This window comes from Homo sapiens, chromosome 1 (genome assembly GCF_000001405.40).
Source record: "Homo sapiens chromosome 1, GRCh38.p14 Primary Assembly".
Taxonomy (NCBI): Eukaryota; Metazoa; Chordata; class Mammalia; order Primates; family Hominidae; genus Homo; species Homo sapiens.
The window spans coordinates 23,039,797-23,055,714 of record NC_000001.11 but is presented as its reverse complement, the minus strand read 5'-3'; the positions used below and the strand labels follow the sequence as shown (position 1 = coordinate 23,055,714).

Here is a 15,918-nt window from a genome sequence, read left to right as displayed (position 1 = left end):
CCACTATCTTAAGATTTATTTTCTCATTACCTCAGGCATGTGTTTCAGTATCTGTGATTCTTAGTTAATTTGTTAATAATCTGCTTCATTTACTTCATAATTACATTAGGACACATTCTGCATATAAGCTATTTCCCTTAACCTCTAACCTTGTAGTCTTAAGTCTCCTTTTGAAAAAATGATTAAAGCATTAAAAAATCAACTATTGACAACATAAAGAATGGGTCAATGAGAGAAAAACCTCAGAATGAACTCCTCTCATTTTTAACAAATTGTACTGTTTTATTCTTTTTTTTAAATTGGAAATCCAGTATCTTTTACTAAGTAGCTATCAAACTAGAAATTAAGGGAAATGCACATTTATTAAGAGACTATATTTTTTATTATTTATTTATTATATTTAACTTGACTTTAAGAAGATAAACTTGGAAATATTTTTAAATATAGTCTTATGAATCAAAATAAAATCCTAACGTCATCATAGATATAAAATACAGTCCTGAAACCGTAACTTAAAAATGTAAAATTTATCAGCCAGGTAGGAGGTCCTTACTTGGTAGGGGTTTTATCCTCTTATAGATGCCGAAGTTGATAAGACCATGACGCTCTAAATAACTGTGAACTCGGTGGACAAGCACAGTATCACCTACAGAATAAGTGGATTAAAAACACGGTTTTATTTTCAGCAGTTTAAACAATATTCTTCTAACTCTTCCATTTCTCCATCATGAAGTCCTTAAAACCATTAAGCTTCAAGTCATGTGACTCCTTTAAAAAAGTAATTCTAAGGCTGGGCACGGTGGCTGATGCACACAATCTTAGTGGCTTTGGGAGACTGAAGTGATAGGATCACTTGAGGCCAGGAGTTCAAGACCAGCCTGGGAAACACAGCAAGACCCTGTCTCTATAAAAAACAAAAAATTAGCCATGTATGATGGTGCATGCCCATAGTCCTAGTTACTTGGGGGGCTGAGGAAGGAGGATCACCTGAGCCCAGGAGTTCCTAGCTACAGGGAGCTATGACTGTACCTGTACGCTCTAGCCCAGGCTAGATCAGATCTCAAAAAATAAATAAATCACTGTAAAGACCCCGACTCTACAAAAAAACAAAGAATTAGCCATGCATGATGGTGCCTGGCAGATCAAGGCTGAGGTAAGCTGTGAATGCGCCACTGCACTCCAGCCTGGGCAACAGAAGGAGACACTGTCAATCACTCACTCACTCAATCAATGTGATTCTTAGAACTATTAGTCTGTGAAGCAGGCCAAAATGTGTAACACATAATTTGGAATTGTATTGATTTAATTTTTAATTTTTTTGAGAGATAGGGGTCTCACTATGTTGCCCAGGCTGAACTCAAACTCCTGGGCTCAAGAAATCCTCCCACCTTAGCCTCCTGAGTAGCTGGGACTATAGGTGCACATCACTGTGTCTGTCTAATTTAAAATTTTTAAGAATTTCATTCCACCACAAATGGAATGAGAATAAAACCAAACCTTCACAAAGTAGTTATAACACTCATTTACTTTGGCAAAAACATCACAAGACATTGTTGGTGCCAAGTCTGAAATAAGAAAACCAGATAGTGAGCCATGAAGCGCCGAAGTATTCCATGGATCAAAGCTGGACAACAGGTCTAGGAAGAGTACTTAGCAATCTCTTGAACTCATCTGTTAACACAATTTAAAGACCAGAAGATGAATAAAAACATAGAAAACAGGTTTTCTATAAGACTTATTTTTGCACAGCACAAGGTGAAATAACATGGAAATATGAATGAAAAAATTAATTATCAAGGAACCATGAGGCTCCTAGAAGAACGTATCAATTTTCACAATCCAGTACAAATTAGTCCTATTGAACACACTACTTACTGTTATAAGGTGCTTCTAATTGTTGGAGAGTAGCCTCAAATGTCAGCTGAATCTTTGGATTATCCAACCACAACTGCAGCTGCATTTAAATGACATAAATTGTATTACATACAAATAGACATATGTTATTTGACTATCTTTAAAATCATCTTTTAGCTGGCTGCAGTGGCTCACACCTATAATCCCAGCAGTTTGGGAGGCTGAGGTGGAAGGATCACTTGAGCCCAGGAGTTTGAGACCAGCTTAGGCAATATAGTGAGACCCCATCTCAACTAAAAATATAAAAACTGGCTGGGTATGGTGGCACATGCCTGTAGTCCCAGCTACTTAGGAGGCTAAGGCAGAAGGACTGCTTGAGCCCGGGACGTCGAGGCTGCAGTGAGCCATGATCGTACCACTGTACTACAGCCTGGGCAACAGAGCAAGAGCTTACCTCAAAAAATAAAAATAAAAATAAATAAAATCATCCTTTTAACTTTAAGGCCCCAAACATGGGCTTTCCTTTAATTAAAACAGTGACGTTATACTCCTGAAAAAGAAACTGATGAACACAAAGCCATATCAAATAAGTAAATTACTGAAGAAGCTGGGGTTATTTAGCCTAAAAGAGAAAACCACCTAGTAACTTGCCAAATCCATAGAGCTAGAAGGGAGCAACTAGCATTCAAACCTGGGTTATATGACTCCAGAGATACTAAGTGGATAAAATCCACAAAAATCTAATGATCAACTAGATATGTCGAGGTTGGGGAGAAAGGTGTCAAGGACAACATCTCCATTTTGGTACAACTAAGCGAGTTGGTACGCCAGACACTGAATGGAATCACTGAAAGAAGAAATAAGATAATGAGTTTAGCTCCAAGATAACAAGAAGAAATATAAAATAGATGGATATAGGGTCTGGAGCTCAGAAGAGAGAGAAGGTCTGGAGTCATCTGCTTATGGGTAATAACTGAAGTCAAATGCATTGAGAAGGGTTCCTAGAGGAAAAAATAGGGCAAGAGGAGAAGGAACTCCAAATAGTCCACATAATGGCCAATTGTTAAGGATCATCTTACAAAGCAATCAGAGAAGACACCCAGAGAGGCAGGAGAAAAACCAGATACTGAGTTATCAAATCCAAGGAAGTACTGTGTTTCAGAAGAAAGGAGCAGTCAATTATTTCAAATACTGCTGAAAAAACAGATGAGACATAAAAAAACATATGGTACAATCAATGGGCTCTAAAATGAATTCTCTTCAAAGTGAGTATATACTTGCAAAATGCATGACAAACTAAACACTACTATATTTAAGTCTTAGCTAAAAATTAATAAAGACTGCTCTATAAGACAACTTTCAACCAAGAAGAAATTAATTTGGCTATATGTAAATAAACCAAATTACTAAGGGATTATGACCAAATCCACACAGATACTCTACTCTGTGGCCACTGTAAGGTAAATGGATTTCCTCAAGTACACACTGGGCCCAAGTTCCTCACTCCCAACACAAGTCTTCCTCCTCCTCCTCCTACAAAATAACACTTAGGTCACAGTCTAGTTCAATAATCCTAAAGTTGCAGTTTTAAAGTATTATAGTTTAAGACTAGAGAACTGATAAAATTCTTGCAGTAGAGGTTGATTTACATTCTGTTTCACAGCCAGAGACCACAAATCTAACATCGGGAAACCCTTCCCCAAATCTGGATTTTTGGTGAATCAGAAAAGACAGAGATCCCTGTAAATCCATCGCTCAAATCTAAGTAAAAAGTGAAAACTCTCTTCAGATAAAACAAACAAACAAAAAAATGACAATTTTGTCTAAAAAAAAATCCACTTAGAGCAAATGTTGATATGCTATACACAGAAACTGATTCAATTATAAGACAAATCAGCGACTACACACTAAGAATTTTCTGTTCACTTTTTAAAAAACTCACCATCTTTTCTTCACTGTTCTTTTCTGTTTTACAAAAACCCAGGATAACCTATCAATTGCTTTAACAATCGAAATTAAGCAGTGGTTTTGCAATCTAATAGCCAAAACAAAGAAGCTGGTGGTGGCTAAAAAGCAGACATATCAATGACATCTCTGAGCTATATTCATATTCAAGTTAGCTGAATCACAAGGTTAATTTCTTCTGCGTTGTACCACCCTAGAGTAACATGAGCATGTTCTGAATAGCACCTTTCCCTCATCCATTTACTCTCTGGCTAAATAAGAATTCCTGATGAATAAAAGATATGAAAGAAAAATTTACAGAAGAAATACAAATGACTAATGTGAAAAGCAGTCAGTAATCCAAGAAATGAAAAAGAACTGAGATGGTTTTGGCCAATTATAGGAGCATAGATTATCACTGTTTTAATAAAAATGGGCAGGGCAATGCGGAGGGGAGGGGTTGACTGGTTCAGCCTTTCTGGGAAGCAATCTGGCAATATGTCCAAAACATTTAAAAGTGTTCATAACCCTTTGACAACGTAGTTTTCCTTCTATAATTCTATCATAAGGAAATAATAGGTAGAGTCAAGAATGCATAAGACTGTCCAGAGTTAATTATAATAAAGCAAAATCGGCAACAAATGTCCAGCAGTCAAATTATAACCCAACTGTCAGACAAAATATTATGCAGACACTGAAGTTAAATCATTCAGCCAGAGGAAGAGGCTGAACAAGATGAGCAGAACAGGGTAAAGATTTCTCTTCAGAGGGAAGGACAAAGTGATTATTATTATTATTTTTTAATGCTTAAAGGTTTTTGTTTTTTTTTGAAATGGACTCTACTCTGTTGCCCAGGCTGGATGGAGTGCAGTGGCACGATCTCGGCTCACTGCAACCTCCACCTCCTAGGTTCAAGCGATTCTCCTGCTTCAGCCTCTCAAGTAGCTGGGACTACATGTGCCTGCCACCATGCCCAGATAATTTTTGTATTTTTAGTAGAGAAAGGGTTTTGCCATGTTGGCCAGGGTGGTCTCGAACCCTTAACCTCAGGTGATCCACCTGCCTTGGCCTCCCTAAGTGCTGGGATTACAGGTGTGAGCCACCACGCCCAGCCTAAATAAATATTCTTAATGTGTATTTATGAGGTTGTGAAGTATAAAAGGGATCCAAAAGAATGTATCCAAGAAGGATCTCAATTTTATGAAAACAAAAATTATATATACATTTTTTAAATACCCAAATGAAAAATAACTATTAACAAAGGTTATCTCTGGGTAATAATAGTATTATAGATAATTTTAGAATTCTTTCTTCTCTTTTTATTTTTCCCATATTCTCTATCAAAGCCATATATACTTTTTATAATCCAGGTGAAAAAGCTGAAATGGAAACTTACTGTGCGGTTTCTAATGAAAAGAAAAACCTTCTGGGTCTGTTGTGGTCCACTGATAATATCTGGAAAACAGGCTGCTTCTTGAGAAGTCATCCGGTCATGAGGAAGTCGGCTCTGGAAAGCTGCGCCCTCCACACCTAACGAAGAAAGCAAAGGACATCTAGGAAAAGTGCAAGTGAATACAAAACGGGTAGTGATGACGCTTAAATTCCTTTGCCTCACTCACAGACTGACCTTTTTAAAAAATTTTCAATTGTCTCAAAAGCTGAAACTTCCTTAGATATTAGCCACTTATTTGAGCTTAACATTCCAAAGTTTATACTTTACTGAGTGAAACAACTACCTTATAAGACAAAGCATTTAAAATAGTTTCTTTGTCCATAAAATAACTTTATCATATTAGATGATCTAATTAAAATTAGCACTACTGACAGGTGTACAATAAAATTTAAAACTAAAGAACCAGAATAAAGGAAAATGCACTAACAGGAAAGCAAAAGAAGCTGTGGAGCGAAAAACACAATCACATGCCTTCTTTTAGGATTACAGCATGAAACAGAAAGATGACTTTAATAATCAACAGCAGAAAATCACAATCCCATCAACAGTATCATCCATTAGTAATCATAATTCAACGCTGGCAAGCAGTGAGAGAAATTAAGCAGACAACAATAAGACAGAAGAATGCAAGGAATTTACATTTGCTGGCAGAAACATTAGAAATGCTTTACTATATACTACTAATATTACTATGTATAATCTATAACACATATACATATAGTGTATACATACACTATACACTGCAAGTAAAATACGTTCTTCTCTTTTTTTTTTTTTTGAGACGAAGTTTCACTCTTATTGCCCAGGCTGGAGTGTAGTGGTGCGATCTTGGCTCACTACAACCTCTGCCTCCTGGGTTCAAGCGATTCTCCTGCCTCAGCCTCTCGAGTAGCTGGGATTACAGGCACCCGCTCCCATGCCTGGCTAATTTTTTGTATTTTTAGTAGAGACGGGGCTTCACCATGTTGGCCAGGCTTGTCTCGAACTCCTGACCTCAGGTGATCCACCTGCCTCAACCTCCCAAAAAACATGTTATTTTCAAACTCTTCAATTAATTGGGTATTGTCTTGATAGTTTTATAAATTGGTGGATAAGTACACCTTTATTAGGTGATCTTAAAAACACAAGCACAATAAATGCAAATGTATTTCTAAAATCACCTTATAGATGTACTTATCCACCAGCTTATAAAAACTATCAAGATTCAATTTAAAGAGTTTCAAAATTCCATACCATTTAAGTAATTACATATAAGTAACAAAATAGGCGCCAGATATCCATATATAATTTTTTTTTTTTTTTTTTTTTTTTGAGAGGGAGTCTCACTCTGTCGCCCAGGCTGGAAGTGCAGTAGCGCGATCTCGGCTCACTGCAACCTCTGCCTTCTGGGTTCAGGCGATTCTCCTGCCTCAGCCTCCCAAGTAGCTGGGACTACAGGCATGCACCACCATGCCTGGCTAATGTTTTTTGTATTCTTTGTAGAGACAGGGTTTCCCCATGTTGGCTAGACTAGTCTGGAACTCCTGGCCTCAAGTGATCCACCCACCTCAGCCTCCCAAAGTGCTGGGATTACAGGAGTGAGCCACCATGCTCAGCCCATATATAATCATTTTAAAGCACATAAAACAAGAAGTTGGAAGCACTGATAATGGAAGCAAAACTAATGCTAAGGTATTAGTAAGATTAGGAGAATTAAAAAAACAAGGCAGGTAAAGATGTTAACTTAGAAAATTATAGCTAAGCTATTAAGGAGTCTGTTTCCACAAAGACATTCAAATGGCAAACACTACCTAGAAAAAAATCATGTTTAACAAGTGGTCAAGCAAAAACGCCTAATGCCAATCATGGGCCACACATTAAGAAATACTATTCTTAGAGACCAGGAGAAAAAACTATCCATCTACTGTAGATAATGAGGACATAAACATTGTGTCTCACATTACTAAATCAAATCAACAATCCTTACATTTAACTAATCCATACCCAAAATTAAAGACTGTCAGGATAATTTATTCCTTGGGTAAAAAAAATAAAAAATAAAAAAATAGTAAAAGCCATATTGTAGGTGGAGCATGAAATTACAGCAAGAAAAGAAGAAATGCTTACTATTGTGGATACAGTTTATTTCAGTAATGTGAAATTTTCTAAACTATATGGCTTTGATGTCCCCAGCTCCCATTCCCAAATCAAAATAAATAAAAACTGAAAACAAAACAAAACCACCAAGACTAAAAATAACTCACATTATAAAGAACTTATCTACACATTAAATCCTGAGTATTTCAACCAAGTATCTCTAAATAGGTCAATTCTTGGTATAATTCATAAGTATATACTATTAACATGAAAATCAATGATTTCTATTAAATTCCACTTCTCCCTGCCAAAAATGGTAGTTTTCTTCCTTAGCTATGTTATCTTCTATACATTTAATAAGTAGTCACTGAACATTCTACTGCAAAATACTATTTTTCAATGACAGAAAAATCATGTAGGATAAAATACCAAATTTTATAGTACATTTGGCTGCTCACTACAGATGTTTTTTTTTTTTTTTGGCAGGGGGAAGGACAGGGTCTCCCTCTGTTGTCCAGGCTCCTGAAGTGCAGGGGCACAATCTCACACTGCAACCTTCACCTCCTGAGCTCAAGTAGCTGGGCTGCCTCAGCCTCCCAAGTAGCTGGGACTACAGGTACAAGCCACTATGTCTAATTTTTTTATATTTTGTAGAGATGGGGTTTCACCATGTTGCCCAGGCTGGTCTCAAACTCTTGAGCTCAAGCGATACACCATCTCGGCCTCCCAAAGTGCTAGGATTACAGGAATGAGCCAATGCGCCTGGCCTCAGATGTTCTTATCAAAAATCACTCTAATGTAGTTGGCTAATTTGGGGAATTTTTGAGAATATGTAATGATTAAGAAATGTTATTTATATGTCATCCAGCAGTTTCAAAGTATTTTTAAATCAAACATCAGAAGTTTAAACAAAGGCATTTAAAGAAACTAAATGTGGTGACATTAATGTATGCTTGGAATAATATTCTTCTCCATCTCTATCTTCTAAACAGCATCTAAGAAAACTAGCTATTCTCAATACTCTGATATCATTTTTAAAAATGAAAAATGGTCTCTAAAAACTCTCAATAATTATTTCCTTCCCTTTGGTGTTTAGGGATACTTATTTTAAGGAATGAAGACCATTATCAAAACCAGGGTGAAAAGCCTGCAAGATAAAAAGCTAACCTTTTCTTAAAGAAAAAAAAAATGTATGTTAATTTGTAACCTAAACTGTTGAGAAGCTAAATCAAAACATCCTTCTTATAGGATAGTACCAAAATGAAGTAATAGACACCATTTTGGATAATCTAACTCATGAGTACCTATCTCTTTCAGAGGAAAAATCTTTTAGAATACAAATGATTTTAATAACATCCTAAAAGTACCAACAGTACACATTAATTCAGAAGTAATTTACACTTGGCTCTGATAGTTTTGTACTCTGGTGTTTGCGTTTTCCATTAAGTAATGGAATCTGGTATTCTGAAAATTTAGAATGTTTCCAAAACGTTGTCTTTGAAACATTCAAAAATTATTAAAAAGCTCCAAGTTGCCTAAATACCAGTCTTACTTTCTGTTCAGTTCCTTCCTGCTCACCACCTTTATACAGGAAATTCCAGCATCACCTTTCAGAATGCAGTCACTCTAAAGCAGAACTGCCCTTTCTAATGGTCTGACTGGCTTATACTTTCTCTGAATACATAATAAATGTAGTTAAATATTTGAAGGAATAATTTAGACCTTTTGAAGTAGGTTAATTAGAAGTAGAAAAAGCGGGAGAGGCAGGTGAGATGACAGGTCCTCTATTCCATTAAATCACTTCCTCTTGATTCGTGTAAGATATAGGTAGCATCTTGACTGCAGTAAGGTAATAGAGATATAAAAATTAACAAAGAAAAGAAGGCCTCCATGAGAGTTACTTGCCTTTAATTTTTTATATCAAGTAGATAACTATAACTAGATTTCTAGCGTGAAAATAAAAGCCTGAGGTGATCTACATATTAAAGACTTTACTTAATATGAGAAAACTAGAGATGTATCATATCAAGTCCTAGAATGTTTTAAAATAAAAGGAATAAGGAATAGGGGGAGGAGAGAGAAAACGAAAAGAGAATTGTACAACCTCCTATACTTCAGAGTTTTTAATTTCTAGGGTAAACACTATTTTAAAGGATTCTAAGGGTGTAAGGAATAGTCTTTGCACTAAGAAGCAAGATCCCTGGGTTCTCCTTCTCCAGAACTGCTGGTGTATTGCTGGTCAATCTATTTAACTTCTTTGGGTTTCAGATCCTAATCCATAAAATAAGGGAGATAAAATACTGTTTGAAGGCAGGAAGTTAGACAAGATGACCTCAAGTTCTCTTCTAGCTCTAAGATTTAGGATGTGTACACCAACTTGAGGTGGGTTTTAAGAAGTCAAGATATGATCCTGGCACCAAGATACCCATGAGGGTCATCTGGCTTCATTAAGAGAAGAATGTTGATCTCTTACAAGCACATTTCTAACCCTGATTGATCATTTCACAAATGCATGCTTCTGAACGTGACAAAGATTGGAAGAGAGATCTTGAAGGTTTTACAACAGTCACCATCATTCCTGGAAACACTTAAAATTCATGTTCTACTAACAGTAATCAGCAGCACACTTTTATATGAAAGTCTGCTTTCACTTTCAGCAATATATGATATTGTTTACTTAATGCAAAAGAGCAAATAGTCACACACAAAAAAAAAACAGAAACAAAAAACAAGAAAACTCAACTTCTTTCTTCAAGATTAGAACTCTAAAGGCCATCCCTGATCTTCAACAGTTCCATGGAAGATCTAATTGTGCGTCATTTGATGAAAAGCATTCTTCAAGGTTTATATGCCACAGATCTAGACTCTGAACAGGGTTTAATTCTGCTAAGATAACCATGTACTGATTATCAACCTGCAATCCTTGGGACAGCATTTTTAAAAGTCTGCTCCTAACATTCTGGATCCCCTTATTACTAATTGCTGTATTAACAATGAACTACCTTTAGTTCAAGAGAGTGAAATAGAAACAGTCCCAGGACCTGTTATATGCAAACTGCAAAACAAATAATTTTAAAGTAGACTTAAGACAGTTGAAAAGTGACAACCTCCAAAAGTGAAGTAGTGCCTATTCCAATTCTATCAAAACGTATCTATAAACCAGCTTTGAGCAACTGGAACAAAAACATCCTTCAAGAGACAAAGGATGAAATCCAGATACGTTATTTTGGATTGCTGGGATAAATTTTAACTGTTCCAGATGGTGGCCCCTATAAATTCTTTACTTTTTCCTAGAAGTAAAAATCTCATACTGTTTGGTCTGAACAGAAAAAAGTATTTCAGACTTTTCAAAAGACATTTTTCACATGAGAAACAAAATGTTTAAACTGAAGAATGATTAACTACGTAATGTTAACTGAAAAAAGGTACCCAATACCCTGTAACAACCATTTTTAAAAAGATGTCACTTGCCCACATAGTTCCTCTGACTAGTCCTAGAATGCCTCTCAGTCCCGTTTGTTTTTGCTTTTAGACTTTTGAGCCTGTGACTTTTCCTCTCTGTGTATACTGCTGTATTTCTCTTTAAGGGTCCCATGATTCCTAAGTCTATGTTCTATATCATGTTTACTATTAATAGAAAGGCTGCTGGGGAGAAAAGTACCCGCCATCTCCTCGAAAACACAAAGAGTGGAGGGCTGAGATCGGCCTGAGGACTTCAAAAGGTTTTGCTTGCCTTTGTTCTCACTACACTCTCTCCTACTATACTATTATGTCCTGTGGGTTAAATTTCACCTGCGCTTCTGGCTAAAATGTGGATACCACAGCCAAAAACACTTGCAAGCATCAATTCCTACTTGGCGGCTCTTGCTACTAAGTGGCAAGCATCTAATGCCACCCTCACCTGATGCTTGGCCGTCTCCATACCCTCCAGAACTGTCGTCTTGAAGTCCTCCTGCTTGCCCTGTGGAAGGAAAGAGGAGAACTCAGGGACCTTACTCCATAAATTAGGATAATATCTGGACATAAAGGCCTAATAGTTGGCGACTCATGAATTCACCACCAACTAGTAAACCCATATTCAGAGAGCTCCTTCTTCTGGAATCAAGGCCCAGGGAATTACATCATAGTCTTCCAAATTCTGGTCAGGAAGTTTCAACTTTACATGTTGATTCTTGTTGAAAGGCAGTGGAACAAAGTACATAGTATTTCTAATCACTAAATCCTTGCTGTCAGTCTTATTTAATATTAATAGTCTGGATGGGGGAAAATGGATTCCGAGTGTCTTTTACTAACGGCTGCTAGACTGAAAATGGAGCTGACATAGACTCTAGAATCTGGCATTGCAATTCAGCATCAACTTAATATCCGTTTAACTTTCTAATTTTAATGAAAAATTATCTCCTTCTCTTCAAAGCAAGGAGTATAATTAAAAGACTCAGTCTCCAAAGAAGTTTCATTTACTATACACAGTAGACACTAGTACAGTTAAATATGCCAGTGCTTCCTAAATAAAACTAAAGAACACACAATAAGACACTGTGTGTGTGTGTGTGCCAAGTACTGTAGATAAACACACACTTGTGGTAACACAGAGAAAGGCAGGCAAGATCTTGAATCTTCTACTTCATGCTACATAATAAGCTTTGTTAAGAAATTTTCCTCACTGATTAATATGTAGAAGTAACTTCAAGAAAAGAATCAAAGCTTGAAAATTCAATCTGATAAAGAATAGATTGTCTTCTGAACTCTTCCAAAATCTATCATCAAGACAGATGCTATGATGCTCTTAAGCTTCTAGTCACCTGGTACACTATAGGAAAATGAGTGTGATCTTTGGAAGACATAAAATACCACCTCCCAATGATCTAGATAAACTCAGACAAGCTTCATTAAAGTTTATTTTAAAATACGTACCCCAATAAGAAAGCAGATTGATTATTCCACCATTTGAGTTAGAAGGGAACAACAAAGAGAATAAAAAGATACTTAGATATAAGAAATTATTTCTGACAATGATATTAGAATGTGTTGCTAGAAGATACATGCTCTGTTATGAAGGTAGAATAGAATCTCATTCTAAACTTATTTTACTAAGCTCTCGTCTGAAGGGTCCTTTAGGTTCAAGAAGGTTATGCTTCTCAGACAAGGCCCAAGGTATACCTATTTACAGCCCTTGGAAAAAGGCATACAATCATGAAGAGACGATCGGGTTACTAAATCCAATCTGCAAACTTATCTTGAAAATATAGGTCCTACATTTTAAACTCTACTATAAACTTAAAATCAGATATATTCACTCTTAGTAAATTCTGGCTTTATTCATAAAAAATATTTTGTAGAGCCGGGTGCAGTGGCTCAGGCCTGTAATCCCATCACTTTGGGAGGCTGAGGCAGGCAGATCACTTGAGGTCAGGAGTTCAAGACCAGCCTAGCCAACTTGGTGAAACCTTATTTCTACTAAAAACACAAAAGTTAGCCAGGTGTGGTGGTGCTCGCCTGTAATCCCAGCTACTCGGGAGGCTGAGGCAGGAGAATCACTTGAACCTGGGGGGCAGAGGCTGCAGTGAGTCAAGATCACACCATCGCACTCCAGCCTGGGCGACAGAGCAAGACTCCATCTCAAAATAATAATAATAGGCCGGGCGCGGTGGCTCACGCCTGTAATCCCAGCACTTTGGGAGGCCGAGGCGGGCGGATCACGAGGTCAGGAGATCGAGACCATCCCGGCTAAAACGGTGAAACCCCGTCTCTACTAAAAATACAAAAAATTAGCCGGGAGTAGTGGCGGGCGCCTGTAGTCCCAGCTACTTCGGAGGCTGAGGCAGGAGAATGGCGTGAACCCGGGAGGCGGAGCTTGCAGTGAGCCGAGATCCCGCCACTGCACTCCAGCCTGGGCGACAGAGCGAGACTCCGTCTCAAAAAAAAAAAAAAAAAAAAAAAAAAAAAATAATATATTTCATAGATTTTTAAAAAATGTTGCCATTGTTTCGTTTGGTTCCAAATAAAACCAAGCTGGATCAGAAAACTGAATTTTATTTGGGCAAGAAAGGGAGCAGGGAGGGACTCAGAACAATGAAACAAATAGTTTCCAAGAATCACACTTAAGATTAGGAATAATACAGCTGTTATCGTTCAAATTATGTTTCTGACTTGGCAAAAATAAAAGTGACAGTCTCTTGTCATGAAGGTATCTCACCACTAAAAACTTAGATAAAAACAGCAAAAAACCGACAAAACAAAAAACACACACTTTGAAGCTAGCCTAAGCCTGAATTACTTTATCTTTCCTATTCCTCTCATTTCCCTTCTTTTCCAACTATAATACATGTCATACAATAAACTCACTAATTTAAGCTACAGGTAGCTCTTGACTGATTTTTGTGTGTGAATCAATGGTGCTTTGATTCACAAAAAAAGATGGATTTCTTACCCCTGACTTGCGTACTCAATAGGTTAACCAGGACAAAAGGGCAACGAGGCAGTCTTTTTTGTCTTCTGGTTTTGAAGAAAGGAATTAAAAAACCTCTTAAAAAGATTTTTTTTAATTTAAAAAAATGCAGGAAAATGTAGAAAATATTCAATACCCTGCAAAGATTTTTAAAAGGGATCCCATAACAACAAAATGTCAAAAAAGAAATGAAACTCCAGGCTGGGCACAGTGGCTCACGCCTGTAATCCCAGCACTTTGGGAGGCCGAGGTGGGCGGATCACGAGGTCAGGAGTTCAAGACCAGCCTGACCAACATGGTGAAACGCTGTCTCTACTAAAAATACAAAAATTAGCCAGGCGCTATGGTATGCACCTGTAATCCCAGCTACTCAGGAGGCTGAGGCAGGAGAATCGCTTGAACTCGGGAGGTGGAGGTTGCAGTGAGCCGAGATTGCACCACTGCACTCCAGCCTGGGCAACACAGCAAGACTCGGTCTCCAAAAAAAAAAAAAAAAAAAAAAAAGCAAGAAAAGAAACTCAAAAGTATTATTTAAGCAGAGGAGTAGAAAGAAACCAAGCAGAAGGTACCACATAAGAAATGATGGAAAACAAAATTTAAAAGTGCTTAAAATTAAATTAAGAAACAAGTTATTTATCTCTTGATAATGGTTTAACTTGCTTGGAAATAAAGAATGAAGTTATTATTTTCACTCCAATCATACTTGAGAGTATTTTGAAGATGCCTACTTCTCCAAAGACAACTGAAAGATCATCTTTACTAGCAGTATATTATAGACCAATTCTTGAACATTTTCTTAAAAACAGCACATACACAACACTGCTTGCAGCTAACTTTTCATCCAAGTAGTCTCTGATTATGATATATATAAAATCCCTTATTCATCTGCTCTTTGGGTCTTTCCAGCCTAGGACTCTGTTTCTGATAGTGGCTCAGGACACATTAACAGCAGGCAAGTAGCGCTGTTAGCTTTCCATGAGTGCAAATTCAAAACAGAAAATGAAAATATTCAAAAGCAACTTTGTAATATCACCTTGATTTTGGCACCACTACACAAGAAACTCCCTTTTGTTTTTATCCCAAACCACCAAACCTACAAAATAGTCCTCAAGCTTGAAGCAGAGACTCTTTTTAATTTTTTAATTATTTTTAGAGACAAGGTCTTGCTCTGTCGCCCAGGGTGGAGTACAGTGGTGCAATCACAGTTCACTGTAACCTTGAACTCCTGAGCTCAAGGGATCCTCTTGCCTCAGCCTCCTGAGTAGCTAGGACTACAGGCATGTACCACCATACCTGGCTAATTTTTTTTTTTTTTTTGTAGAGACGAGTTCTCGATATGTTGCCCAGGCTGTTTTTGAACTCCTAGCCTCCCACTTCAGCCTCTCAAAGCAACAGGATTATGAGCGTGAGCCACCACAATCGGCCTAAAGTAGAGACTCTTCATACAGCTTATTTGTACACAGCTACTCCAAATTGAAAATGAAGATCTTTTTGATTTATCTTACATAACAGCCTTTCAGTTGTCTTCTAGACCTTCAGATCTAAGAGTCCTTCTTGAAGCGTGAAGTGTTGTAGTTATAATCACATTACTGAATGTTTTCTCATCTGAATTCAAATACTCAAGAGATCACTCTTCCAACATCTTAAAAGGAAGTCTATGTTGACTTTCAAATGCTTTTATCTGGCAAACAAACAAGGAGGTGAAAATCACTGGTTGGTTGTTTCCAGAAACACAGATTCACATTTTGACTAGTTTCTTGGAATCACATTCAAATTACAAACATTTTAAGAAACTTCTAAATCTAGGAAGCAACGATTTTCCAATAGAAGATAAATTTACCAAAATGGCCAAATTTATGGAATAAAAGTGAAGGCCAACCTACTGATTTCAATTGAATTTAATAAATTAGCAGGTGAAAGAAACATTTCAAAAGTTAAAGCCAACTTGGAATATATGTCTCTACCGTATTAACGCACTAATTGAGTTTCTTATTTAATAATCAGTGTTTACCGTATCTGCCCCAAAACTGCAAAGCACAAATACAAAAGTAGAACAGGTAGACTCTCTGTTTTCAAAAAGCTTATAATCTAGTTGAGAAAAGATGAAAAATACCTACAAGGAAACTTTTGTTGTTAAGAAACG

General features: G+C 37.0%; 1 protein-coding gene and 1 non-coding gene across 10 annotated transcripts in view; both read right to left on the bottom strand.

The window, feature by feature from the left end:
* Positions 1-15,918, bottom strand: part of KDM1A (lysine demethylase 1A) — a 64,222-nt gene that overhangs the window by 27,975 nt on the left and 20,329 nt on the right. For 5 of the 9 annotated variants that reach the window (NM_001009999.3, XM_006710473.4, NM_001410762.1 and 2 more), the window contains exons 3-6: positions 11,229-11,288; positions 5,195-5,328; positions 1,876-1,954; positions 554-646 (exon numbers count right to left, since the gene is read on the bottom strand). In NM_001009999.3, the coding sequence (NP_001009999.1) occupies positions 554-646; positions 1,876-1,954; positions 5,195-5,328; positions 11,229-11,288 (366 nt within the window). The remainder of the gene's footprint in view (positions 1-553; positions 647-1,875; positions 1,955-5,194; positions 5,329-11,228; positions 11,289-15,918) is intronic. The other 4 variants (XM_047449677.1, NM_001363654.2, NM_001410763.1 and 1 more) reach the window with 1 other exon arrangement.
* On the bottom strand, positions 11,343-11,410 carry MIR3115 (microRNA 3115). Its single transcript, NR_036057.1, has one exon. It is a non-coding gene; the product is annotated as a microRNA 3115 (primary transcript).